Below are 27856 nucleotides of genomic sequence, written 5' to 3'. Positions count from 1 at the left end.
GAATTTCCTCTGAGAATTTTATTAACATTCAGTCTGTGAAAGTACTTCTTAGTTCTCTGAAGATAATAATTAGGAAATAGTTTTTAAAAAGTAGAAGTGTCGTCTTTGTGAGCTTTTGAAATGTCATCTTCCTAAATCTTTGGAGCAAATGAGGCTCAAAACATCATAGAGACTTATATTTTAAAAGCATTTCTTCCTAAATGTACTGTTTTCCTTCTCTTCCTGTTCCTTCCGTCCTCCTACATTATTTTGATAATGAGTTAATTTTGGTTTCTTTCACATTGTGGTGGCCTAATTTTTAAATTTATGACCCTTCATTTTTAGATCTTGCATGTATTTTTTTTTTTTTACCCTTGAGTCAATTCTCATTGATTATGAAGAGCTGGTATAGCAAGATGGGAAAGAGAGAGGACCCTGGAGCTAGGTTGGTGAGATCTAGGCTCTTTAGAACTTGGATTCGGTCCTCACAGTAGCTCTGGGAGGCTGATCATGCTATTCCCAACACACAGATGTGGAAATGGGTGCAGAAACACATGTGTGTTCACATAGCCAGCAAGTGGTTTATCTAAGTGTCACTGCAATGATCTGTAGGACTCCAAAGCCCATGCTTCCAGCTGGAAAGGCAGGCAGGGGCCTTGCATGCTGTGCCAGGGTTGGGACTTAGTCCTGTAGGCAGAGAGGGTCAGGCCTGTATTCTAGAAAGGTAGCTCGGTGGCTGTCTGGAGTTTTGAAGTGAAGCAAGTAGAAATTAGGTGTAGAGAAACTAGTTCATTAAAGTAATGTCTTGAGAGATGAGGGCCTGAACAGAAGACATTAAGACAGTGGCAGTGGTTGCGGAGAAGAGGGGGCTTGTTGGAATCCATAGAGCTTAGTGCCTTTGGATACTAGAATTGCATCATCCCTTCCCATTTCAGGTCTGATGCCCCAGGGATGGGTGTTGGAGATGCTGACTATGTGCAGGCTAAAAGCAATCTCTGCAGAAACCAAAAGTGCCTCCTTTGGTCTCTGCTAACAGCTAGAGAAAGGTGGCTGAGCACAGTCCGAAAGGGCCTTCCCTTCCCTGTGCCACCCCAGCCTTATCATTCCTAACTTTCCAGGAGCATCGCAGAGAATGAAGTTGGATTCCTCAGACTGCATTTTGGGAAATGCTAGTCAAGGTTAGAAGTGTGGAAGGGAAGACGCCTTCCTGGGGTATTGTCTGCACACCCCTCTTCCCTGGTGGCACAGGGGACCCACCAGGGTTTGGTCCTCAGTTTTGGCTATTCCATAAGAGTTGATCTGCCCTAGATGGGGTTAACTTGTGGTCACCAAACTTGCAGGGGTTGACTGGGAAGCAGGAGTGGCAGTGAACATAATGGCCAGCCCCAAGAGGAGTCGAGGCCAGCCTCCTCTGACGGGTGCAGTCTCTGCGGGGCGCCAAGCCATGCTCAGGGAAGCGGGCATCAGAGCCCAAGGAGATGATTGGCTGGGGTCTGCATGTCCTGTCATCGGTAGGACGCACTGTTGCCATGTCAGGAATATACTGGTTTTGTGCCCTTTCCCCTAGTCAGTGCCAGACGTGGTCATAAACTTGCTTTTGGGCTTCCGTTTTTCCAAATTGTGCAACATCCCTGCCCTTCTGAGAGTTTGTGCTGGCTCTGGTCAGGCCGGAGGTCAGGTGGTCAGATTCTGGCTTTATTTGGGCTGTGTTCTCGCTGCGAGGAGGAAGCCAGGTTACCTCTGTTGGACCTGCCTGCTCCCAGCATCTCCAGCAACAAGCTGTCTCTGCCGGTGAGTCACTCCGTGCAAGAGTCTGCTCACCCACTTTCTGCTTGATGTTTACACTTTTCCCTCAAAGAGGGAACCTCTTCTTGTTCTGAGGGCACTTCTCGGCAGTCCCCTAGAGTGTCCAGTTGTTTCTTTTGTGGGGTAAGAACCCGTGCCAGACAGGTACATGTTTTAATGGGAGAAGAGCATTTCTGCCTGTGGATATGAGCTGTCATGCCTACCTCTTGAACATTATGTCCTGAGCAAAGCCCTTTTCTCGTTCTTTTTGCTTCGTGTTTAGGTGCGTGTTTGGGTGTGTTTGCTTTAATTATTACTGGGAAGCAAAAAAGATATTTATCAAAGGTTTAAATCTATAGCAGTGCCCCTGCAAGCAGAAAGAAGAAGTATATATTTAGCCAGGATATCATTGATTTATCACCCTTTTTTCCATTTTGTTCCTGTTTTGTTGGCAGGACCATCTGATTTGTATACTGGTTCAGTTTGGATTTCAGTAGTGAGTGTGAAAAGATTCCTGGGCTGTTTGCCGAAGTGGAGGGACTCAAATGCGTGGGCTTCAGGGCTGCCAGTCTTGGCTGTCCCTGCAATCCCAGGAGCCTGGCACATGGTGCCTTTGTCAGGAAGGTGGAGTTTGGCCAGGCCGTTTCTTTGGCTTTGCCTGGGAGCAGCTCTGCTGGTGACAGTGGAGGCCTCCCTCTGCCGTGGGAAAGGGAATTCTCTCTTGATTCCGGTTTTGGCTTATTTCTCATCCTATAGGGATGAGAGGGAGGAAGGCCCCAGAACTAGTGAGTTTTGGTGATGAGCAGGTTCAGGGTAGGACTGGTTTGCAGCTTCCACAGAGCTTTTACAGATGTTTTCCTTGCATCCCACATTTTCCTTCTTCCTTGTTAGTCCCAATTCAGTCTGTCATCAGTACTGCAGAAATTGGCTTGAACTTTGTCAGTCTTGGGAAGACCTGGAAGTGCAGCATAGAAACCTGTTCAAATTGGTGCAGCAATTTCACATCAGCATAAGTAGCTTGTTTTGGTGGTGGTGGTTTTTTAATCAGTTTAGGTGCTTTTTTTCTGAAATCATATAGGTAATATGTAAATGTATTCTCCTGCAGCCTGCCCTTGCATTTAAATAGTGCAGAAGGACACAGCAGACTTGTCACATTCCCCTTCACCCAGCACCCCTCCCCAGGTGCCAGCTCCTCCAGGTCCTCAGAGATAACTGGTGTTAGCAGTTGGATCCGTGTCCTGAAACTGTCAAGCCTGTATACACAAATACACTATGGTTTTCCTTCTTTTAGAAGCATGAATCTGATTGCATCATACTGCTTTTTTCACATAGTATATTTTCGAGAGCTTTTCATGCATGTAGCTCTTCTCTGTTCTTTTAATTTGTCTTTTATTTGCCTACAAAATATTTTCCAGTGTAGTTATGTCATAATTTATGAATTGGTCCCCTACTGGTAGACATATAAACTAACTCATTAGTTTTGCTATTATATCTTCATTCATACATATTAGTATGCACATGTTTCTCTAGGAGTAGAATTGGCATGTCAAATGTTAAATTCATTTAAAATGTTGCAGCAGTACCCATACTATGCTCTCAAGAGATGTGCTAGTTCCTGTTGTCAGTGGTAATGGGCTGCCATTCCCCTGGGTGAAAGAAATGGATCATTGTTCAGTAGGCATTTCATTTATTATTGGTGAGGTTGCAAACCTCATCATTTGGCTTCTTTTTTTTTTCTTGATAAACAGACATGTTTAATGATAGCTTGCTCTTCACAGAGATGTCTACGGAGACTTTTTATCTATAATCCAGGAGTATATAACCATGCAGCACAGACCAATTAGCCAAATGCAAAATAAACTAGATTCTTACCACAACTATCCTATAAACACTGCAACTATTCTTTCCAAAAAGACCCTAATCTTATGTGAAAACACCTACTGTGGGGGAACCAGAAACCTAGCTATGTGGCCAAAAGGAAAAAATAGCAATTCAGTGGTTAATTGGTGAAAGCAGGAAATGTATGTCCTTTACTGTGCTGCTGTTGCTGCTGCTGCTGCTGCTTTGGTCTTCTTAGTTTTGTTCTTTTTGTCTCTCTTCTTCAGCCCATCCATGTTAGCTCTCAGGAGGTTTGAATAAGCCATCTGAAACTTATTCACTTCCTCGGAGCTCACCACTGTGCTGATCTTCTTTTTCCCATCGGTAGCTCTTAACAGACACTTGTTGTCTGCAGGCTCAAAGCCCTCCACAGTACCTTTCTTTGGAATGGATTTGGTTCGACTGTCATACTTCTTCAAGGTGATATGATGCTGCCTGATGTCCAGCACTTCTGGAAAAGTCTGGTCAGCTCCGTCAGGAGCTGCTCGCTCTCCAACAACACCATCGCGGCGACTCTGGCTCGACTCCCTCTGCTTAAGCCCCTAGCAGTGAGAACTGGTTATTTGGCTTCTTGATTCTTATTGCTGAGATCGTAGATGTTAAGAGTGGTGGGTCCATAGCAACTATAGAAGATGAGGGAACCAAACCCTCAAGGACCATGGCTCAGCTCAGGGTGGTGTAAGCGTCATGCCACCAGTGGTGGCATTGTGGTACCTGGAAGCAAGAGCTCCTGATTTCACATTCTCTGTTTCTCCCGGATGCTAGTTATGGTAATAGGACATTTTAATTTTGGTGTAACTTGCCAGAGTATTTCTCCAAACCTTTCATCTGAGGAATCAAGGGTCCGTAAGTATTAAGATCAGTCTGTCCTGTGCTGCTGAGGCGTGGATTGGAGACTGGGGAGGGGCACTGGGAAGACACTTAAAGATTGCGTGCTGGAAAATCAGGCACTGTTGCTTCTGGAAAAGCCTCCAGGAATGTGGTAAAGCAGATGTTTTCTTCTAGTTGCATGTGATTATTCCCCCTCTCCTGGCTTGCTATGGGAATATTGTGGTGCTTTGACCCTTAGCAGGATGCTCTGGGGAGAAGCGATGACTTCTTAGAAGGTGTTTGAGGGGTGTGACACAATGGGCTGGCAGAGAAGGCGTCTGGTGGCTTCCATGAATGGGCTGATCTCGGGGCCCTCCCTGCAGGCTGGGCTGTCCAGTGGACACAGTGGGCTTCGGAAAGCCCTGGCTTACTGGACCACAGAGTCCTTTACCTATTGCTCAAAGGGGCAGAGAGCAGGAGTGGTGGAGGGGGAACCCTTGGGAGATGAAGGGACTGCAGAGTTGAGCCACACTGGACCCAGCTCCCATTCAGCACCTTATGGGTGTGTGCCTTGAGCAGCTATTTTATCTCCCTGGGCCTCAGCTTTTCCCTGTAAGTTAGGAATAATAATTAGTACCTGCCTCACAGGGTTGTTGTGAAGATTAAAAGAATAATGTTTATAAATCTCTCAGCATATTACCTAATTAGTACTTGGTAATTGTAAGTAACTCCACCTATTTGTGTTCCCTTTTCCATATATATATGTATCTCTCTCTCTCTCTCTCTCTATATATATATATATATATGTATGTGTATATATATGTGTATATATGTATATGTGTATATATGTGTATATATGTATATATATGTGTGTGTGTATATATGTATATATATATGTGTTTGTGTGTGTGTGTGTGTGTGTGTGTGTGTGTGTGTGTGTGTGTGTGTATATATATATTTTTTTTTTTTTTTTGAGACGGAGTCTCATTTTGTCGCCCAGGCTGGAGTGCTGTGCCGCGATCTTAGCTCATTTCAACCTCTGCCTCCCAGGTTCAAGCAATTCTCCTGCCTCAGCCTCCCTAGTAGCTGGAATTACAGGTGTGCGCCACCACGCCTGGCTAATTTTTGTATTTTTAGTAGAGATGGGGTTTCACTGTGTTTGTTGGCCAGGCTGGTCTTGAACCCTGGACTTAAAGTGATCTGCCCACCTTGGCCTCCACAAGTGTTGGGATTACAGGCGTGAGCTACCACACCTGGCTAATAACTGTTTTAAAATGAGTGACTACATATCATATTTGCATATTACATAAGTAGACTTAATCTGGTAACATTAAAGAGAAGAGGTCAGGAGATTAGTAGCTGTCGGGGCAGATGAGGGTGGGGGCTATGGGAATTAAAAGGGATGAAGGTGGGAGGCTTCGGTGGAGGCCTTAGGTGGGGCAGGAGAGTTGAGTTGGGATGTTCTCTTCCAATACCATTGCTCCTGCAGAATCCCCTCCTTTGTGCACATCAGAGCCCCACACGCAGAGGCCTTTTCTCTTTTTTTAGATAGACTGAGGGTTAGGGGATTGCTAGTGCAACCTCTACCCTTTATTTCGAGGTGGCTGAGTGGGGCCCTGAAAGCCAAAGTGTCTGCCTCAAGCTACACAGATGGCCAGGACAGAGCACAAGTAGGCCCAGCTCTCTGTGCTCTGGGGAGTTGAGATTTCTTTCCCTTCTTCCCTGCACTGCCATGTGTTGCTTATAGCCAGATGCAGGAAAGAGACATGGTGTTAGGCACTTTACAAAGGTCTGCCGTTTACTCCTCCCAAGGTTCTTGTGAGATGAGGTTGAGATATGCATGTTCTTCTATTCCTACAGTGCCAGCCACAGGTTGATGTCTGCTGGTTTCATTCCCCTGGTCACCTGTAATCAAGGGGAGGGCAAAGACTGGATCCTGCTCCCTCTTTCCCACCACACCATGTATGTCGTTAGTTTTTCCTGCATGGAGCAGCTCTCCTGGGGACTGGTGTGGCAGTCAGTATTATTTATCGAATAAATGAGCAAGATCCAATTCAGTCTTTCCCTGGCTCTCGTGTCTCTGAAAAGAGAACATCTGCCTCTCCGTTTGGCCCTCTGGGATTAGTATAGCACCCCTGCCTGCCTTTAAGCTTATCCTCCTTCACTCAGAATTCATTCAGGAAATACACTGTTCTAGGTGTTGGTGATTTTGCACTGAACAGAAGGAGCCAAAATCCTGTTCTCATGGGGCCTATTTTCTAGTGAGGATGACAGACAATAGTGATTAAAATACACGACATGTTTATTAGGTTCCCAGGGCTGCTGTAACAAAGTGCCAGAAACTGAGTGGCTTAAACAGCAGGAGTATGTTTTCCCATGGATCTGGGGGCTCTGAGGGGAGTCTGTTCCATGCCTCCCTTCCAGCTTCTGGTGGTTGCTGGCCGTCCTTGGTATTCTTGGCTTGTGGGAGCATAGCTTCAGTCTCTGCCTCTGCTGTCTCATGGCATTCCCCTGTGTCTGTGTATGAGTCAGGGTGCTCCAGAGAGACAGAACCAATAGGACATAGACAGATAGATGAGAGGGGATTTATTAGGGGAATTGGCTCACATGACTTTGGAGGCTGAGAAGGCCTGTGACAGGGTGTCTGCAGGCTGGAGAACAAGGAAGGCTGGCAGCGGGACTCCGTCCAAGTCTAAAAGCCTCAGAACTAGGAAAGCTGATGGTGTAAGTCTCAGTTTGAGGTTGAAGACCTGAGAACCTGGGGGTTTGGGGGCAGGATGTGCTGGTGCAAGTCTTTCTTACTCAGTTGCCTGATTCAAATACCAGTCTGTTCTGGAAACACCCAGATGATGTAGTACTTTACTAGCTATCTGGATATCTTTTAGTTCAGTCAAGTTGACATCTAAAATTAACCATTACGGTGTGTGTCTCTGTTTTCTTATAAGGACACTAGTCATTGGATTAGGGCCCACCCTATTCTAGTATGACTGTGTGAACTCTGAATATCTGAGACAGGTCTCAATCAGTTTAGGGAGTTTATTTTGACATGCGCCTGTGACATGCACCTGTGACACAGCCTCAGAAGGTCCTGATGACATGTGCCCAAGGGGGTCTGAGCACAGCTTGGTTTTATACATTTTAGGGAGATATGAGACAATCAGTGTATGTAAGATGAACATTGATTTGGTCCAGAAAGGTGGGACAACTCGAAATGGGGCAGGGGCTTCCAGCTTATAGGTAGATAAGAGACAAATGGTTGCATTCTTCTGAGTTTCTGATTAGCCTCTCCAAAGGAAGCAAGCAGATATGCATTTATCTCAGGGAGCAGAGGGGCGACTTTGAAAAGAAAGGGAGGCAGGTTTGCCTAAGCAGTTCCCAGCTTGACTTTTCCCTTTAGCTTAGTGATTTGGGGGCCCCAAGATTTATTTTCCTTTCACAACTGCCTTTTTTTAAAACTGTGGCAAAAAACCCCATAAAATTTACCATCTTAACCATTTTTAAGTGTACAATATATTAATTAGTGTTACCTGTCTGCACATTACTATGCATCAGTATGACCTCATTGTGTTAGAGTTCTGCAGAGAAACAGAACCAATAGGGTTATGTGTATGTATATAAAGAGATTCATTATAAGGTGTTGGCTCACATGTTTATGAAGGTTAAGAAGTCCTAAGAGCTGCAGTCAGCAAGTTTGAGACCCCAGAGAGCCAATGGTGTAAGTTCCAATCCAAGTACTGAGGCCTTGAGACCCAGGAGAGCCAATGGTGTCAGTTCCAATCCAGGTACTGAGACCTTGAGTTCCAGAAGAGCCAATGGTGTAAGTTCTAGTCCAAAAGCCAGCAGGCTTGAGACCCAGGAAGAGCCAGTTTCTCAGTTCAGGTCAGTCCAAAGGCAGAAAAGACCAATGTCCCAGCTCAAGCTTACATACACTGCAAGAGGAATTCCCTCTTACTCAGGCTGTTTGTTCTGTTCAGATCTTCATTTGATTAGATGAAGTCCACCCAGATGAGGGAAGGCATTCTGCTTTATTCAGTCTACCCATTCAAATGTTAATTGTATCCAGAAAACATCCTCACAGACATACAAGGAATAATCTTTGGCCAAAAGTCTGGGCACCCATGGCCCAGTCAAGTTGACACATGAAATTAACCATCACACTCATCTTAAAATATTATATCTGCAAAGACCCTATTTCTAAATAAGCTCATATTCTGAGGTTCCAGGTGGACATGAGTTTTTTGGGACTCTGTTCTGTCCAGGTGGTATGTGAGATATTGGTGACTGCTGAAAAAGTGGAAGAGTCCCGCAGCAGAGGGGAAGGTGAGGTGGTCAAGGAGGGCTTTGCTGAGAAGGAATGTGTGCACTTGGGGCTGGAGAAGGGGGAGAGAGGGAGGAGCTGCTGTGTGGAGGAAGAGGATTCTGTGTGAAGGGGACAGCACAGGCAGAGGCCCTGAAGTGTAGGGACAGTACAATTTGAGTCCATTGTGTCAGGGGAGGAAAGGGAGAGGTTGGGAGTAAAGAAGAGGATGAGGATCAAGAGGTCCTTCTTTGCGTGGACTGTGGCCTTTGTTCTAGTAAGATGGGAGCCACTGTTGTGCCTGTGAGCATGAATGAAAGCAGGTAGTGTGGGCCAGCTCATTGAGGACTTTTCTAAGTTCAGATGGATGTAGCTGAGCTGTGTGTGTGCCTAGATATTTTGCAGCAGCTGTTTCTAGGCAGGTTTTTAAAAAATGTTAGTGCTGTACTGACCCTTGATCCACCACCCTTTCCTTTCTGTATGCTTTTCACCTACCCACCCACCCACACATAAACCACAAACACGAAGAAGAGAGAGCAAACAGACAAGGCTGTGGTGGCAGGAATTGCTAGGAAACTGTGTGCTTAGCTGCCCTGCTGTGAGCTGCAGGGCCTCACACGTGTGAACTGGTGGGCTCTTCCCCCCACGACCCCTTCAGCCTTGGGCCTGCCTGGTGAACGCCATGCCTGCCATTCAGGTGGTCTTTAACCTGGGTAGATTTAGAAAATGCCAAGGTCAGTGTGCAAGCTATGTGGATTCTTCTGGGCTTCCAGGATTCTTCTGTGTATAAAATCACTATGCTGTGAAAAGAGTTGAGTCAGCTCTCCTGGTCAGCAGGCCACATTTGGCCTTGAAAATGTGGGACAGGGAGGAACATCCAAGAGGACCTTTGGAGACAGTGAGTAGATGGCTGTGTGGTCTTGGTACGTGGGCCCAGGGCCCTCTGCTGCCAGCCTTGTTACTGGCCTACAAAGTGTTCACACATTGTTGTTCTTATTTGTCATAAAAACACTTCAGCCTGCAATCTGAGTATTGGTCATTAAAAAGAAGAAGGAACTCCAGGCGGAGGCTGGCCCTCAGCGGGCCTGGCCTGCTGGTCTGTGGCCTGTGTCGTCGGTTCAGTTTGCCCAGTTACTGGGGGAATCACTACTTCAGATTCCTTGGCCTTGGAGTTAAAGGGAAATATCCTTATTTGGTTGACATTTAATTTCCTTTTTGCCTCCAAAGGAAGGGGCCTGGCCCTTGTGTAATGAGGGCTCGGGGGAAGTGGGCTATATGGGGGCCTGATTTCAGACTCTCTCTGGGCTGTGCGGGGGCCTGATTTCAGACTCTCCTGCCTCCACTTACCAAGATAGTGCCAGAAGCAGCCTGCTTGGGGAGGTTATCTGGGAGGCCGATGTCATTGTGACCCCTCTGGGGAGCATCGCTTTAGAAGATAATTATGTGTAAGTGGAGATGAAAATAGAATTCTCCAGTGCCAGGAGCAGCTGCTCTTCCGTAGTGTTTCAGGAGTTGCCTTTGGGGCCCCTCCTTCCTCCCAAACAAAACACACCCATCCAAAATGAAAGTTGTGAAGATGATTCCTAGCTAGAAAAGTGAGTGTTACAAATGTGTTTTGTGAGTGTGTAATTCCAGAAGTTATTTTTAGGGTGTTCTTTCCTTAGCACATCAAAAGAGCTTCCTTAGAGGAACTGCCTTTTAAATTGCACAGCCTTTCTCTGCCAGAGTGCTACAGGAAGTTTTGACTCAGGTAGTGTTCCTTCAGAATCTGTGGAGGCAGGCTTTGCTTCCTTGTTATAGTTAGAACAGAAAGGCCTTGCCCACGAGTGGGAGCCAGACAGGGCTCCACGTGTTCCCCTCCCATAAGACAGCCTCCTTGTCCTATGCCCAGGGGTGGCTTTTGTCTCTGCTGACATGCCCCCAACATCTAGTAAATACGTACTTGTTGATGGACAGGATGTATTGGATGTGGGCCCTGGCATCTTTGCTGGGCTCTGAGTAGGCGGCATGCTGTGATTTCACTTAGAACCCTGAGAAGTTGGTCTTCTGGTATCCAGATTGGTACTGGAACATTAAGTTCTGATTTCATCACTGCTGCCTTCGATAAGTTACTTGCCTCCCTGGGCCTCAGTTCTCTCATCTTTAATCTAGAGGGTTGGATGAAATGATTGGCATGGGGGTCTCCCTTCACCTCTCCACCCACTCTGGGCAGCCCCTTGCACTGTCTCCCTGGTCACAGTGCGAGCTCCTGGAAGGTAGAGCCGGTTTAGGCACAGGGAACATGAACTTTTTATCCCAGCCAGCCTGATAAATACAGGGCTTCCCCAGAACTCAACATGCTTCAGCCCTGGTGCTCCCTGATGGCCTGTCTGGCCAGACCCCCAGAGTTCTTGCTTTCTGGGCCAACTTGGAGGCAGAGACGAGCAGGTGGTGGAGGATTTGGCTAAATCTCCATTCTGGCTCTGGAGGCGGGTGTCTCCAGTTGCTCAACCTGATCTCCTTGTTCTTTTCTCAAGTTTCACACAACTTTTTATCCTTTCCTTGAACAAAGGCTTTTTATTTCTGGATGATGTTGTGAGAAGTTTTTGTATTTATAAGTAAGGCAGAAAAGAATGGATCATAACTACAAAATTTTATATCAATTACATTCCAAATTTGTTAAGAAATATCTATGTGTAGGAAAAAGACCATAAAGTACTTTATTTTAGTGGTCATCTCTGGATTTTCATATTATAGGAGGGCTTTTTAAGCATTTTTTTTACAATGAGCATGTACTGTCTTTATAACTATTAAAATTATTAATGATAATTAATTATTATTTATTAGGATTTAGTATGTGCCAGACAATGTAAGAACTTGCCATTACAGTATCTTATTTAATTCTCACTGTGAACCTATGACATTCCTATTTTAAAAAAACAAAATATACTGGGTGTGGTGACTTGTACCTATAGGCCCAGCTACTCAGGAGGCTGAGTTGGGAAGATCACCTGAACCCAGGAGTTTGAGGGCTACATAGCAAAACCCATCCTGTTTCTTAAAAGCAAACAAATATTAACCTAATTTTTGTTATTGTGGTGAAATATACGTAAAAATTGCTTTTTTAGGCTGGTTGTGGTGTCTCATGCCTATAATCCCAGCCCTTTGGGAGACTGAGGCAGGAGGATCACTTGAGCCTAGGAGTTGGAGACCAGCCTGGACAATATAGTGAGACCCCATCTCTACAAAAAAATTTTTAAAAAATTAGTTATGCGTGGTGGTGTGTGCCTGTAGTCCCAGCTACTTAAGAGGCTGAGTTGGGAAGGTCGCTTGAGCCCAAGAAGCTGAAGTTGCAGTGAGCTGTGATCATGTCCCTGCACTCCAGCCTGGGTGACAGTGAGACCATGTCTCAAGGAAAAAAATTGCCTTTTCAACTATTTTTAAGTGTATAGTTTTGTGGCCTTAACCACATCCCCTGAGAGATTTTTTTTTGGAACCCCTTATGTGATAAATGAGGACGCTGAGACTTACAGAAACAAAGCTACCTGCCCAAAGTCACAGAGCTAGTCAGCTTCAGAGGCAGGATTTGAACCCAGAACTGACATACTCAGAAAGGTCCCAGGTTCCTGGGATCTGTGGTATATAACAGTTGGAGTCCATGATCACTCTTCTGCCTCTGCCCACCATTTGACAGTAGAAAGCCATTTGCTAGTGTATGTCTCTTTTTTGAAACTCTAGGGGTTGGATTGTGTTTGCCAGTGAGGTGGTGGTCAGCCCGATTTAGGGTGTGTGGCTGACGCAGGTGCTGCCTGTCAGCGGTTGCCAAGGTTGGTTTGTGAGCTCTGTTGTGTCTTGAGAAGGTTGAAGAGTGGGCTGCTGTACTGAGAGGGTTGTGTGTCGGAATTCTGTCTCTAGAAGGTCCTCAGCAGTGCAGTGGAAAGGGCAATGGCCTAGAGCTCAGATATGTGGCCTTGTCAGGTCTGGGTTATTTTGGAGAACACACATTGAACTTGGGAATTAGTCTGTACTTTAGTCCTGATTGTGCCGTGTGGTAGACATACTTAGGCTTCCATTTCCTCATTTCTCAGTGAGTGATAAAAATGCCTGTTCCACCTGCCTCCCAGGATGGTGGTGATGATTAAATGTCATGATGTAGGGAAAAAGTGCTGAGGAAACCACAGGGCTCTCAAGGAAGTTTCTCTGATGAGAATTTTGAGTGTACAATGGTGCGTGAGAACAGTGGGGCTGACCTTGGAGATGTGAGGAGGATGGATGCGGATGTGAAGAGCAGCAGGTTTGCTTTATTTCATTTTTGTTTTTGGCAGCAGCTTGTTTCCTCTACCATCGCTTCACTGGTGAAGTATAATGTTCCACTGTCTACCTGGTGTTGTACTGCCTAGTGCTGAATGCTCTAGGATTTCACTGGAATTTGTCCCTGCCAAATTCCTTGGATTCACTCTCCCCAAAACTCTCATCTCTTTGGTGAAATGAGTTGTAATTTAGGAGATCATTCTGTAACTGCGGTGGTTGAAAGTACATAGCAACTTTCCCTGGTCTTGTTTGTCTTCCTAATTTTTTTTTTTTTTTAGCAAATATTTGTCTGTTTCTGTTCTCTAATCTTGAGCAGCCAAGCGTGTGAGTGGGCTGGAACCTGGTGGTCTGCCCCTGGGGAGGGGAGGGGGTCCCCCTTGGGTGGTGCTTGCTCTTCATTGGACCCTTTCTGTGCTTGATGCTTTGTAGAACATCAAGGTACAGTAGGCAGAATCCCTTGTTTTATGGGAAGATATGTATACTCAAACCAATATGAGTGTTAGGGATAGACAGCTTGAGAAGTCCCTGTCATGAGAGGTGTAACCCTCAGTCCAAGTGGATGAAGATGGATTATTGGGGATAGTCAGAGAGGATAAACTGTTGGCAGGACTTCTGTGACTTTTTGCTTTTTCACAACTGTTTGAATCAGCTCTTTCCAAGCTGGGGTTTCTGTCCAGCTATCCTGAGATAATTTCTTGAGTCATCACTGTTGCAGTGCACGTTTCATCTGACAGGAAAGCAGGGGCCCATGCAGGGCTCTGCTGAAGTCAGTGGCCCTGTCTTGTTTTTTGGCTTTGAGAATGGTACTCGAAGACTAAGTAGGTCACAGATATCTATTTTGAATTGAGTATGACTGGGCTGCTTGGACATCTAATTTCCGGATCCAATCCTGTTGGTCGCGTTTGCCCAGGAGTTTGGCAGCAAGCACTCTCTGGTTGGTCGTAGGGTGTATTTATAAAGTGGGAAGAGTCTGGAGACACTGCAGTTCTCTATTCCTGCAGGAGAGCCAGGAGTGGGTGGGCTTCAAAACCCTTTAGGAATGGGGGGAGTGGAATTTTTCCACCTCACTTCCTTAAATTTTCTGAAAATTGCTGATCCTCACTAACTCTATGGAACTTTTTTCTTTCAAGGAATCAAATTTAATTTTTACCCAATATTAGCTGGCCTCTGCTTCAAGTTGGATAATAGCTTCAGTTGCTGTGTGCCTTGCCTTTTATGCAGATTATCTCATTTAATCCTCACAACAAGCTCAGAAAGTGGTTATTATTTTCTCCATTTTACAGAGGAAAAGACCTGAGAATCAGTGGGGCAGTAATTTGCTGACAGACCCAGTGTGTAAGTAGCAGTGCTTGAGATTCAAACGTAAGATCTTCTGATCAGAGTGTGGCCTTTTGCTGCATAGCACAGTGGTCTCAGGAGCCCTGGGAGGTGTTCTGGCCACAGCTGGAAGTGGCAGCAGGAGCCCTGGGAGAGGGTATTCTGACCACAGCTGGGAGTGGCAGTACAGTAGTGGCTCCTTGGCCCATTGTGGGTTGAGTGCAACCTTCCTCTGAGTAGAGGCCAGCTGTGGGTGTTGGGGATGTGGGCCGCCCAGCCCAGGGAAGCATCTGTCTTTGTGGAACTGGAGTTATGTTTTATGATGTCACTCTGGTGTGACTGGATCACAGAATTCTGAGTTTATACCCTTTGTTGGATTTTTTTCCTGTTTCACTATTTTTCTGTGGGTCCTTGCCCAAGACCTTGGATGAGTGCAGTGAGCAGGCGAGATCTGTGAGTTAACATAGGTGGGGAACGCATTGGATGCACCACCTCCTCTGTGTGCACTGGCTGTTGACCCACCATTCCTCATCATCAGTACTCCGTGCCTTCCCTGCATTTTGGAGGACTAAGCACTTTTGTAGCGGGGAGTGTGTGTTTTGCCTTTCTCTTCAGTTTGTCCCCATAAGCTACTTCCAGGGGCCTGGCAGTAATGCTGCTGCTCCAGGTCATTTGTGTTTGTGGAGTGTCAGAGTTTTCAGGACTTTGCCCAGAAAGTCTTGTCCAGTGCTCCCAGGGAGTGGTCGTCATCATCTCCATTTTACAGATGGGGATTCTTAAGGGAAGTCACTCTTAGGTAGCATACTTCTATACCATAGCTTCCCCTGTAAGTTTCATAAAACACAACCGAGAAGATGCCTGTTTAAAATCAGCTTGTATTCCGAAAGTGAAAGAATGCCCTCTTCAAATGCCCTGGGGATCGTGTACACAGTAGGGTTCTCTTCTCCCTCAGGAATGTGTGGTCCCATCCTAGGTTCCCTCCCGGCCGTTTCCTGGCTTTGTGAGCCTGAGCTGGTTACTGAACCTTTCTGAGTCTGTGTCCTATAAATTGGTGATGATAGTACAATCTAAAAGAGGCTGTGGTAAGATATATATGAGATAGTGTATGTGAGATCACCCAGGCTCAATGTGTTGTAATCGCTTGTTTTTATTTTTCAACCAGGATGGCTTGAAGAAAATACAGATCTCAGCTACAGAGGTTGAGGCCTGAGAAACTCCCCTCCCCTGAAGGGCATTAGTAACTGATCTTCCCTGCACACTTCCTCCCCCAAAACAAGAAGGAGAGGATGAAGCTTAAAAACCCTGTTTCAGCTAGAATCTTTCCAAGGTTTTCTCATTCTTTTGGTTTTGGAATGGGGTGCTGATATATGCTTCATTTACTGGAAACCAAAACTAAGGAAGTCCATGTTAACCACACAGCCTCTCAGAAATGCCCAGTATTTTTAAAAATGAGGAAATGCCAAAACACGATTTTAGAAAGCGGGGTATTTTAAATTTACATATTGGACGTGTCAGCACTTTTAGCACACACACTTTCACTGATTGTATAATTATCTTGAAAAGACTTAAAAAACTAAATTTGAGGTTTTCTGGTCTCATTTCTTGCGGGGTCTTGCTCTGTTGCCCAGGCTAGAGTGCGGTGGCATGATCTCAGCTCACTGCAACCTCTGCCTCCCAGGCTCAGGCGATTCTCCTGTCTCTGCCTCCGGAATAGCTGGGACTACAGGCATGTGCCACCATGTCCAGCTAATTTTTTATATTCTTGGTAGAGATAGGGTTTTGCCATGTTACCCAGGCTGGTCTTGAACTCCTGAGCTCAAGCAATCCACCTGCCTTGGCCTCCCAGAGTGCTGGGATTACAGGCGTGAGCCACTATGCCCGGCGTGGTCTCACCTCTTCAAAGACCTAATCAGCGTCTAGTGGGTAAGTCTTTTTGTTTTTTTTGAGACAGGGTCTCACTCTGTAACCCAGGCTGGAGTGCAGTGGCGTGATCACAGCTCATCTCCTGAGCTCAGGAAATTCTCCTGAGTAGCTGGGACAGGCAATCCTCCTACCTCGGCCCTCCCAAAGTGCTGGGATTACAGGCATGAGCCACCGTGCTTGGCCAGCTCTTACATTTTTGGTCACCTAGTGACAGACCTTTTTTCCCTTCTCCTCTCTCTCCTTTCCACATTAGTTTTTATGTTTGAGCCTAGACAAGTATAGGGGAAATTCCAGAGGAACCAGCAAAGTGACCTGCAATTTTTGATCTTTGGGGTTTCCAATTTTGTGTATTTGCTGTGTGATCTTGAGCAATTCTCTTACTTCAGGTCTCAAGGAACTTAGCATCTCGTAGGGGAGATAGAACTGGAGTTGATAGCCCTCTTATTGCTGTGGCTACAGACAAGGATTCTTGTCCTCAGTGTGGTGGTAGTGGTTTTTAAGTCTTTATGTGTTATAAATTAGAAGTTTGCAAGGTGTGGTTTTTGACACTAAGGGAATTGCAAATGGGATCAAGGACTAGACTTCCCTGCATGAGACACTCTCTCATCAGACACTCTCTCATCAGACTCCCAGACTTATGTTATACCACCTGGTGCGGTCAGTTACAGTTACCTGTTTACCTGGCCACCTGCCTAGATTAACAGCAAGCTCTACAATGGCGGAGACTTGGCCTATGCCCTGTTATATCTTAGGCATCTTATTTATTGTACTTCCATGTGGAATACAACGGATGCCTGCATAAAAGATTTGAAGGATTTCGAATCACTTAACATGGTAGCAGGCCGAGGGGTGGAATTGGCTACCACAGGTCTTGTGTTGCGTAAACTGGTCGTGCCACATGACCAGACTTGTCTCCCTTCCTCCCATGCCCACAGCCCCTCTGCTGAGAAAGACAGAACCAGTACCAGGTAGGTCCCTTGTAAAAAGCCAGAGGGGTGAGTGGAATTATCTTCTGTTTTATAGACCAAGATCTGGAGAAGTCACATAGCTAACATGCCAGAGAGTCAGCATTTGAATGTGGGCCTGCAGGAGTCCACTTTTTATACCCTTCACAGATCGGATATGCTGGTGCATCTGCCCCTGAGGACATATTCAGCGATACAAATCCAATTAACCCGATAGCCCAAGAAACTTAAACTAGTCTGAGGAAGAACTTCCTGACATTTTGTTTTTGTTTTGTTTTAAAGTTTGTGCCAAAAAGGGGCTAGAGTTGGGGCTTTTCAAACTGTTAATCACAATCCACAGTCAGAGAATTGATTTAGTGGGTTGATACATTTTTAAATGAAATAGAACAGTGAAAAATAACAATGTGTGACACACAGTAAGGCTGTGTGTAGGTGCATCCCTCCCAGGCCATAATAGAAATACACTTCTGACTGTGGATCAATGATCAAAATATCTGAGAGAGATTATAGCTTCGATTGGTATTGGCTAGATTGCGAAGTCCTTGGCGGCAGGGATGTTCTCTCTTTTATGTTCCCTTCATCCTTAGTCCAGTACTGAGTACTTAGCTGATTGGTTGGTCTGTCTGGGAGAATTTGTAACAGTTCACCCCTCAGACTGGAAGAATAGTCAGAATGATGTTAAGGACAATTTGCAGAATACTGTCTCTGCAAGGAAATGACAGGTATTCTTACCCTTGCTTTATGAATGAGGAAAGCAGAAAGACACCGAGTGTGATAGTTAAGAGCTTGGGGTCTAAAGTCTGAGAAACCTGTGTTTGAATTCTGTTTGTGCAGTGTCATGGTTGTGTGACTTTGGGTAACTTTTTTAAGCCTGACTTTGTCCATCTTTAGGCAGGGTATGATGAGGGTACCTACCTCAGGTATTATGACAGTTAGATGAGTTAGCTCGAGTTTAGTGGCTTTAGCACAGTGCCTGGCATCTGATAAGCAGTTAGTAAGCATTATCTGCTGCCCTTCGTTTTATGATTAAGAGAGATTAAGTGACTCATGTTGGGTCCCAGGGCACCAGCTGGAGCCAGGCCCACTGCAGGAGCCCCTTCTAGAGTTGCAGATCTGTGATGGTTATTGATCTTGATCTAAACTTGTAGCTCTAATCTGTGGTTTGGCTGTGGCAGTGAAAGGAAGTGAATGTTGCAACAGAGCAGGTGTGTGCATACAAAGAGATGTCCTGGTTTTGCCAGTTAGAGAAAACAGCATCTTCCAGAGATATGGCTGCATGTGGAATCTGAGAATATAAATGACATTTCTTAGGAAAGCCAGGTGCTTTGTATTTTCATCAAAAACAACAGTTTCCTAAAACTGAATATAGCAATGTATAGGCTTAAACTGGTGGTTTTGTGTCGACACAGTGATAATTTTAGTGGAAACTCCAAGATTTGGTAAATACTGATTTCTGAAATCACTCACTGAGCCTAGCAGCACCACTGTGCACTTAGAACGAAGTCCTTGAAAATACGTGACATGCTGAAGGTGAAAGGCACTGGACAGAAATCCCAAAGAGACTTGGTTTTGGCTTTAGCCCCTAATTTGCAAGTCTGGGTCTCTGTTCAGTTCTCTTTTCCAGGCTGGAGAGTTTTGAGCCTTCTTTCTCCTTAAAGTCAAAATAATTTTGTTCTTTATATCCCGAAGTGTTGATTGTCTTTGTATCTTGATAGGAAAAGGTAGTATATGTGAAAAATTATCTAATGGTCAAAACTTGCTGGTTTATACTTTAGTTGAAAATAGCCTTTTCTGCCTTGTTTGGAAGCAATATAGTTTAGGGATAGTTAAGTATAATGGTCAAGAGCAGAAACTTTTAGCTGGATTTAGGTTCCTGTCCTGCCTGTGCTTCCAACAAGGTGTTTGACTTTGGTGCCTTAACCTCTCTGCACCCTGTGTGTAAAGTGGGTTAATAAGAGAATTGCTACCTTGTAAGTTGTTGAGAGGATTAAACGGGGTAACATGTAAAACCCTCAATGCAATGTCTGCTCCTAAACTCTTCAGTGAATAAGAGTTGTTACCGTCATCATTATCATCATCAGTATTATTAGTGGAAGGTCTTTCCAGGAGCCCAGAATTATACACCTGGCTGTGCTGTTGCTAACAGTTGCCCTGGGTATGTTGCTGAACTCCTAAACTTCAGGATTCTTTTCTCTAAAACAAGGGAGTTGTCCAGATGCCTCTAGTACAAACGTTCTGCCCCACCTGCAGCATGCTTTGTTTCTCATCAGGCCTGAGCGATGCCATCCGGGCTGCAAGGGTTTGAGTCCCCTTTTCCAGTAAGGACCTATAGTGGCTCTGCCAGATGTTGGCCCTGCTAACCTTTGCTTTTCTTTGCTTGATTTTATGTTCGTAGTGTAGCTTTCTTTTTCTGGCTCTGCCAAATGACTCCTCATGGTTTTATATTTTTTTCTAGTGTATTCAGACTATAGGTCTGGCATTGGAGTTAAGTCTTAGCTTGGGAGAGCCTCACACATAGGGGATATTACAAGTAAGGGTGAGCCCATCACTTTGCTGTTGACTTTTTAAATATGTTTGTGTTTGCACCTGTCACACTTCTCAACCCAAGTACTGAGGACTGCCTATATCTGAGGCTGGCCATTGAGAGCCACTCATGAGAAAGGAATGGCTTTTCTGGATCCATAATAAGCCACCTTCTTGCTTTGTTTCCTTCTTTGCCTTGGTTTTAGTTCGAACTTTTAAAGAGCTCACCAGAGCTCATCTTGGTGTAGTTTTATATTTTGCACATGCATCTTTGTTAGCCCCTACTTTTGCAAAAGATGGAGCTGTGGAGTTAATCTCTGGTCTGCCATTGATGTTTTAGGTTTATCTTGTTCTCTTGGACAGGCATGCACAATGAATTAATTGAGTTGTTTTCAGCCCACTTCCTGCCTAATTGAACACCTGCCCAGTGAATGCTGCCAAGTCACTTGCCTATTACCTGATTTGCCAGCCATTCCTGTCATGTCAGTGTCTTGCTTGTATGCAAAGACTCAGTCTTGTCATTTGTAGTTCACTTTCTGTGTTCTTCAGATAACTTTTCTTTTTTTCATGTAATTTAAAGGCACTCGTGCATCCTCCTTTGTTACAGTCCCTCTGCATTCCCATCTTGCCACTGTCCTCCTGGTTAAGATCATTACTGACTAGGCCTCATAAAAATGCTGAAACACCAGATGCAGGACAAGGGCATATGTGCACCCTGGGTTGGTTCTGATGCTTTCGTATCTTTCCCTTGGTCCCAGGCTAAATTTCCAGCAAGCCATTCTTAAGTAGTGCTGACAGTTTAGAACTAATTAGAAATAGTCTTTTAAGGGTTGGGACACAAGATGGTTTTTAAAAGAGTGCTGTCATTTTTTGACATTAGAGACTTGTATCTTTCCAAAGAGAAGAGTGGTCTTACTAAAAATGAGAACCAGGGCGGGAATTCAGCCTTCTCTGATCACAGAAGGCCGCCCCTGTTAATGGCCTATGCTTGTCCTCTTGACTGTTTTCTTTGGTTGAAAAGTCTTATAGCCAGTCACATGGCTCCTACTGGAGCCCTGGCTTAGGTGTGATTTTTTTGTTAAAAATATCCTGGAGATACAGCAACCCCTTCTTAGTTATTTGGTAGAATTACATATCTTTTCTCTTAGCCTTTCAAAAACATAGAAGTGTACTGTTTGGATTTCTTCTGCCCAGATTTGAACTTATTCAAATGAGATGAGACTGGTTATCTCCTTTGATTTCATTGAGGTTTGCATTTTGTTTTCAGTTTCCTTCTGGCTTTTCTTTGCAGAATTTCAAATTTTAAAAATATTTCAAAAGGCATGGCTCCTCAAAAAGTTAAACATAGAATGATCATAAGACCCAGCAACTCCATCCTAGTTATATACTCAAAAGAATTGGATCAGGGACTTAAATCCTTGAATCCAAATCTTCATGGCAGCACTATTAGCGACAGTCAAAAGGTAGAAGTAACTCAGCCAGGTGTCCATCAGTGGATACATGGATAGACAAAATGTGGTATCTCCATATCTGTACAATGGAATGTTGTTCAGCAATAAAAAGGAATGATGTACAGATGTATGCCACAACTTGCATAAACCGCAAGAACATGTTATTTGTAAGAGAAACCAAACACCAAAGGCCACATATTATATGATTCCATTTATACAAATTATCCAGAATAGGTAAATCCATAGATAGAGAAAAAGCAAAGTAATGGTTTCCAGGGGCTGGAGGGAAGAGGTTGTGTGGATCGACTGCCAAGTGGATACTGATTTTCTTTTGGGTTGATGAAAATGTTTTGAAACTAGATAGAGGTGGCAGTTGCACAACATTGTGAATGTCTAAATGCCGTGAATTATGTACTTTAAAATGTCTGATATATGTTATATGCATTTCATTTCAATTAAAAACAATTTGGAGCGGCAGCATATGTGTTCTTGCAAAAGATGGCTTTTCCAGTGACACCATACAAGAGTTGCTGTCTAGCAGGGTACTTCAATGCGGGTAGGAGAAGGAGTGTGGAGTCAGGCTGCTGGGGCTGGGATCTTGGCTTGTCACTTGGCCTGGGGGCAAGTTGGCCTGGTGAGTTGCCTCCCCTTTCAGCCTGTTTTTTCTTCTGTAAAGAGCATAAAAGCATTACTTTCTAGGGTTGCTGTGAGAATCAGCGGAGATAATGGATATAAAATGCTTGGTACACTGTAAGTGCTTAATAAATATTAACCTTTATCTGTTCTGTGGAAGGAGAAGAACAAAGTGGACTCAAGGAGAGAAGCAAAGTGCTGGAACTAGAGAAATTGGAGTTGATTTCAGCCATCTAGGTTTGGGTTAGACCTTTGAGAAGAATTTTAAAAATCTTGTTCTCTAAATTTCTTTTTAGAAGTTGCCATAACCATGTGCAGTCAGTGATGCTATTGGGAGCTGATTTCTACCAACTAAAGCAAAGAATATTTCTAAAGCACTTAGAATAGTGCCTGCCAGACAGCAAGGGCTCAATTAAGTGCTTGATTAAATTAAAGAAGAAAAAACCAATTGGATTACGGCAGTCGTAAGGCAGCAGTAGGGTGACAGCCCCTGCCCACTTCCCTTCCTGAGCTCTCTGCTTCATGCTTGGGTGGTCTCATTCTGGAGCTGGTTTTGTGAGACAGTGTTGAGCACACATCGATGGAGATGTGCCGGCATCTTTTGTTAGCCCTCTGGCATTTGTAGGAAACTCAGCTACTGGGGTCCCCTTTGTAAATGTATTTTATGTTTCTGATTCCTGCTTTCTTCCTTGGAAGAAAGGTCTTTATCATCACCTGGGCCCAGGTGAACCTTCCAGCTGAGTAGAGGACAAAGAAACCCTGGATCTAAGGAGAGGCTCCCATCATCCAGCTTTAAGGGAAGGTGGAAGGCAGAGGGCTATGAGGCAGGGAAGGCTAGTCTGACTTTCACTGGTAAAGAAGTTTTTGTTTCTTCTTAGCACACAATTGTAGAGATTTCTAATATTAGGATACTACTCGAATGTAAATGGGTATGTAGATCTCTCTCTCTACTTTTTTTTCTTTTTTTTCTTTTTTTTGACAGAGTCTTGCTTTGTCACCCAGGCTGGAGTGCAATGGCACGATCTCGGCTCACAGCAACCTTCACCTCCTGGGTTCAGGCGATTCTCCTGCCTCAGCCTCCCGGGTAGCTGGGACTACAGGCACGCACCACCACAGCTGGCTAATTTTTGTATTTTTAGTAGAGATGGGGTTTCACCATGTTGGCTAGGCTGGTCTCGAACTCCAGGCCTCAAGTGATCCACCCGCCTTGGCCTCCCAAAGTGCTGGGATTACAGGCATGAGCCACCACGCCTAGACGATCTCTCTCTTTTCTAATTCCGTTTGCGCTAAATGTCATTATGCACAATTAGCACCTTTTATATATTGGTGGTTCTTTACTGTTGGTACTTCACAATTTAGTGCCCAAATAATGTAAACTGTGGTATAGAAAGAAGCAAGATTATTGGACTTGGGATCTGAAGAACAGAGCTTAGCAGTTATGTTTACAGGATTTCTATTTACTTTATCTGCCTGACTCCCCTTCTTTCTTTTGGGACCGGCATTCTCCCTTCTTCAGGGGTGTTACTTCTCCCTTACCCATTACCGGGACCTGCCAAGCATGGTTCTTGGTCTCCTGTGTTCTTGGTCTTGGTACAATTTTAATTATAATTAATTTTTGTAATTAAAAAATCTTTTTTAGTAAAAGGGATAATTTATTATGAGAACCGGAATGCCTCAAGAAAATCCAAGGCAGTAATTGCAGCCATGTAATAGGATGTTAAGATGGGGCCTTTCCCTGCCCCAAATGAATGTGAAGCAGCCTCCTGTGTAGAAATTACAAAGGAAAAACAGAACCAGTTTTACTGCATTTGGACCCCTTGCCAGGTCAAAGCTATTAAAAGGGGGTCAGACTGGAGAGGGGAGAGGATTTGATGGATAGGTGTCTTTGGACAGAGCTGCTGTTGTGTTGCTGCCAATCCGCCCAGCATAGATAGGGCTGGGGAGACGTACAGTGGTGTAGTGCACATTTGTTCAAGCCCATCTCCCTGGAATTTTGAACTTGAGGCCCAAGAGCCTTTTCTTCTGGGGTGGTGGAGCCAGAGAAATGGGAACGTGAAGCTGCAGTGACCCTGGTTTCCTGTCTGGAGGAGAAAGCTGGCTTGCTGCAGCTGGCTTGGAGTAGGAGGAACTTGTAGGCAGAGAGAAGCAGAGAAGGGAGTGTATTCGCCTGGAAATTCCCTCCTGTCTGGCCTCTCTTCCTTATTTCAAATTTTCTTTTGCCAAGGTGTTTTGTTTTGTTACTTATAACCAAGGGTCCTGAGTAACAGACATGACCTTCGTTAACTCATTGAACTTCCCTTACTCTAATTTTTTCCTCATGTATACAGTGATATACAAGTAATTACCTCACAGTTACAGAGATGATCCAATAAAATAATGAACATGGAAGCTTGGGGGGACTGTAGCATAGAAGAAGTGGAGGCTTTAGCATTTTGTGATTATTTTACTAACTACCTGTCACTAATGATCTGATTGTTCTGCACATCATTGGTTTTCTCGTTAAAATTCTTTCAGAAACAAATGGTGCCAATAACGCGCTCCACTTTTTAAAATCACAGAGTTGCTTGACCTGACCTGTGTATTTGTAGGAAATGAATGAATGGCTCTTGATAAATTATGGCCTTTCCAAACCTAAAAAAAAGCTTTCTCTGAGTTGAGTTTTAATTATATTTTGGGGAGCAGAGAGTATTGCCTCCAGGTCAGATGAGCTTTTCTTCGTGTTTCTGTGCCAGGGATAATGGTGCCAAAATTTTAGAGTAATGGTGCATTTATTTGGCCTTGGAGTTAAGTAGCCTTGGGTTTGAATGCCAGTGTTGAATGCCACTTATCTAACTATGTTGTCTCTTTGAGCCTCAATCTTGAAGTCTGTAAAATGGGGATAATTACCCCAACCCTGCAGATGGAGGATTATAGGAGACGATGTGTTTAAAGTCCTTAGCTATGTCTGGTATGTGGTAGATGCTGAACAAATGCAGCTGTTACTATTAAAAACGATACCTTCAGTAAACCATTTGCAACTAAAGGGAATGAGGCTAGAAAATGTGAATGCCGAAATCATTTAATCAGCTATTAATTGAATATACTATTGAGTGCCTCCTCTGTGCAAGGGGTAGCAGTGGAGTGGATAAGAAGTTATGTAACACCATTCCTGTTTGTTTATTAGGGAAATAAATCATGTACGTATGGAAAAAAGTAATACGTGAGGCAGCTGGGGTTTGGAGGGTGGCAGAGGATTGGAAATGGGGAGGCTTCTTGGAGGTGTAGAGCTGATGGAAAAATATAGCGAGGGAATTGATGTCAGGAATTACACACTTAGGGTGATCTTTGGAAGAGACCAAATTTTATATATATATATATATATATATATATATATATATATATATATATATAGCCTCATCCTGTTTTATTTTTCCTTTGTCTTCCTGATTCCTTCCCAGATCTGCTTAATGTTTCTGATCATTATATTGATGACCCATGCCAATTGCCCATTCCAGAGTTTAGCATTTTCTTTGTAGACTAATTTTTGCCATGAACCACTGGCCTATAGCCCTCAGTGATCAGAATTCTCCTAACAGATTCTGTATCCCTCCTTCCATTTTCCCCACTTTAATTTTCTGCACTGGAAATGGCCTTCTCAGGAGTTCCATCATGTGGAATCATGACCATTCATTCAGCAGATGCTTGTTGAGCACCTACGACAGGCAGCATGCAGGGCAGTATGCAAAGGAGGTCTGGGGAATAAAGAGATTGATGAAACCAGGTGGTCCCTGCCCTGAAGCAGCTTGGTTAGTAGAGGAAACAGATGGGCAAATGGACTCTAATTAAATGTGATTAGTGCTTTATGTTGGTCAGATAAGGAAAGACATTTGGCGGGAGCCCCACATCCCAGAGTCCTCCCTCAGTCACTTACTGCTGTGCTTGGTTCAGAAAGGCTGTCCCCCTCACGGAGCAGTCTGGGAAAATGCATTCCTTATTAATAACTACGATTCTGATGTGAAATCTCTCTATATAGTATCTTGGTTGGGAAAGTGTATAAGTGAAGATTCCTTTTGTCACCTCCACCCAAATCCTCTTCCACTGAGGAGTCCAGTCTTCCTTCCTCTCACAGACAAACCTGCTCTTCCTCCTGGGCCCTCCATCTCAAAATTGGCACTGTCATCAATCCAGAGGCTTGAGAGCATCTTTGATACCTCCGTCTCCCTCATCACCTCTATCTGATCATCCACCAAGTCCTGGCACCTCTATTGCCCTCTCTTCCATTGCTATCACCCAAGTCTAACCCATCTCCAGCTGCAGGTCATGACCTATGTTACCTCATTCTGAAATTAATTTAGGGGTTCCCCCCCATCATTTAACAAAATAAAAAAATAGTAGAATGGGAGACATTAGAGTAAATTACATGTAGTTTAAGTTTGAGTTTTATTTTGTCAAACTTGTGTTTGTGTATAATAGTTTCACATACAAAAAAAGGCTAACATTGCTAAGGTCTTCACATATATTGACTTATTTATCTCCCACAACAACCTGTATAGTAGGTACCATTATGCTTATCCTTATTTTACAAAAGAGGGAACTGAAACTCAGAGAATTTGAGAAGCTGGCCCAGGGTCACAGAGAATATTAGTGTTCCAGCCCCCACACTGCAGCCACAATAGGCTTATAAAATGCAAGTTGGATGATTCTTCACTATTGATGGGTCCCATGCTCTTAGGATAGTATAAAGTCTGGTCATAAGGCCCTGTGTAATCTGGTTTCCCCACACCTCTCGGGCCTGCCGACCATCCTCTTGCCCCACTGCCTTTCAGCTTCTAGATGTGCCAGGCTTTGAAACACCTCAGGGCCTTTGCCTTTGGCCTTTCAGACTTAGTTAGGCCCCTTCATGACCTGCTCCCATAGTACTCTGTATTGCCCTGTATTGTATTGTAGTACCCTTTCACAGCACTTACTGGAGCCACCAAGATATACGGTCAATGCCTCACTTAATGACAGGGACACATCCTGAGAAATGCATCATTAGGCAGTTTTGTTGTGTGAATATTGTAGAGTGTGCTTACACAAACCTAGATGGTATGGCCTACTACACACCTAGACAATGTGTCTATAGCCTATTGCTCCTAGGCTACAAACCTTTACAGCATGTTGCTATACTGGATACTGTAGGCAGTTATAACACAATGGTAAGCATTTGTGTATCTAAACATATAAAAGGTACAATAAAAATATAGTATAAAAGATTTGAAAAATATATACCTGTATAGGGTACTTGCCATGAATGGAGCTTGCAGGACTGGAAACTGCTTTGGGTGAGTCAGTGGCTGAGTGGTGAGTGAATGTGAAGGCCTGGGACATCATTGTACACTCTTTATGTGGCAGTGCAGTAGGTATGCTTATGCCAGCATCACCACAAACACGGAGTAATGCTTTGTGCTACGGTTTTATGATGGCCATGACATCATTGGACAATAGGACGTTTTCAGCTTCATTATAATCTTAGAGGACTGCTGTCATATATGCAGTCCTTTGTTCACCAGAACATCATTATGTGGTGCGTGACTGTACACTAAGTCCTCATTTAACCTCATACATGGGTTCTTGGAAACTATGACTTGAAGTGAAACCATGTATAATGAAACCAATTTTATGAAGGCTAATTGATGTAAACAAGAGTTAAATTCCTATTGCATATTTCTGGCACAGAAATATCACCAAACTTCTAAATAAAGACCCCAAACACTTCTAATACTAAACACTGAAGTAAATGGCAGCTATACCTACATTTAAGAAAAATTAATAAGAACAAGTGAGATCACTATTGACCCAGTTTTTGGTGGATCAGTGAGTGAGGGTGGTCATGTTTACAAAATGAAAATTACCAGGGTCATCTCCTCCTACCGTGCAGTTTAAAAACAATTACGAATATGGCAGCTCACTGAGCACTTTCAGACCACATTGTTAATGTCCTGCATTTGTATGATTATACTTTATGAATTTTTTTTTGACAATAA

General features: G+C 44.2%; 1 protein-coding gene and 1 pseudogene across 3 annotated transcripts in view, besides 8 other annotated features; one reads left to right on the top strand and one right to left on the bottom strand.

Moving 5' to 3' along the window:
• Positions 1-27856, top strand: part of SMCO4 (single-pass membrane protein with coiled-coil domains 4) — a 75508-nt gene that overhangs the window by 14364 nt on the left and 33288 nt on the right. The gene's annotated exons all lie outside the window — the stretch shown is intronic.
• Positions 1406-1952: an enhancer, noted in NCBI's record as "H3K4me1 hESC enhancer chr11:93270830-93271376 (GRCh37/hg19 assembly coordinates)". NCBI's record gives its function as "activates a minimal SCP1, AML or CMV promoter by ChIP-STARR-seq in primed H9 embryonic stem cells {active_cell/tissue: H9 hESC(primed)}" and the evidence as "EXISTENCE:reporter gene assay evidence [ECO:0000049][PMID:30033119]".
• Positions 3546-3615: an enhancer, noted in NCBI's record as "active region_5396". NCBI's record gives its function as "activates an Ori minimal core promoter by ATAC-STARR-seq in GM12878 lymphoblastoid cells {active_cell/tissue: GM12878}" and the evidence as "EXISTENCE:reporter gene assay evidence [ECO:0000049][PMID:35858748]".
• Positions 3800-4148, bottom strand: SRP14P2 (SRP14 pseudogene 2; annotated as a pseudogene).
• Positions 12239-12288: an enhancer, noted in NCBI's record as "active region_5395". NCBI's record gives its function as "activates an Ori minimal core promoter by ATAC-STARR-seq in GM12878 lymphoblastoid cells {active_cell/tissue: GM12878}" and the evidence as "EXISTENCE:reporter gene assay evidence [ECO:0000049][PMID:35858748]".
• Positions 12669-12838: an enhancer, noted in NCBI's record as "active region_5394". NCBI's record gives its function as "activates an Ori minimal core promoter by ATAC-STARR-seq in GM12878 lymphoblastoid cells {active_cell/tissue: GM12878}" and the evidence as "EXISTENCE:reporter gene assay evidence [ECO:0000049][PMID:35858748]".
• Positions 12869-12968: an enhancer, noted in NCBI's record as "active region_5393". NCBI's record gives its function as "activates an Ori minimal core promoter by ATAC-STARR-seq in GM12878 lymphoblastoid cells {active_cell/tissue: GM12878}" and the evidence as "EXISTENCE:reporter gene assay evidence [ECO:0000049][PMID:35858748]".
• Positions 15417-15516: an enhancer, noted in NCBI's record as "active region_5392". NCBI's record gives its function as "activates an Ori minimal core promoter by ATAC-STARR-seq in GM12878 lymphoblastoid cells {active_cell/tissue: GM12878}" and the evidence as "EXISTENCE:reporter gene assay evidence [ECO:0000049][PMID:35858748]".
• Positions 26731-26780: an enhancer, noted in NCBI's record as "active region_5391". NCBI's record gives its function as "activates an Ori minimal core promoter by ATAC-STARR-seq in GM12878 lymphoblastoid cells {active_cell/tissue: GM12878}" and the evidence as "EXISTENCE:reporter gene assay evidence [ECO:0000049][PMID:35858748]".
• Positions 27491-27550: an enhancer, noted in NCBI's record as "active region_5390". NCBI's record gives its function as "activates an Ori minimal core promoter by ATAC-STARR-seq in GM12878 lymphoblastoid cells {active_cell/tissue: GM12878}" and the evidence as "EXISTENCE:reporter gene assay evidence [ECO:0000049][PMID:35858748]".

The sequence above is a fragment of the Homo sapiens genome, chromosome 11 (genome assembly GCF_000001405.40).
Source record: "Homo sapiens chromosome 11, GRCh38.p14 Primary Assembly".
In the NCBI taxonomy this organism is placed as follows: Eukaryota; Metazoa; Chordata; class Mammalia; order Primates; family Hominidae; genus Homo; species Homo sapiens.
This window is presented reverse-complemented; position numbering and strand designations above follow the sequence as displayed.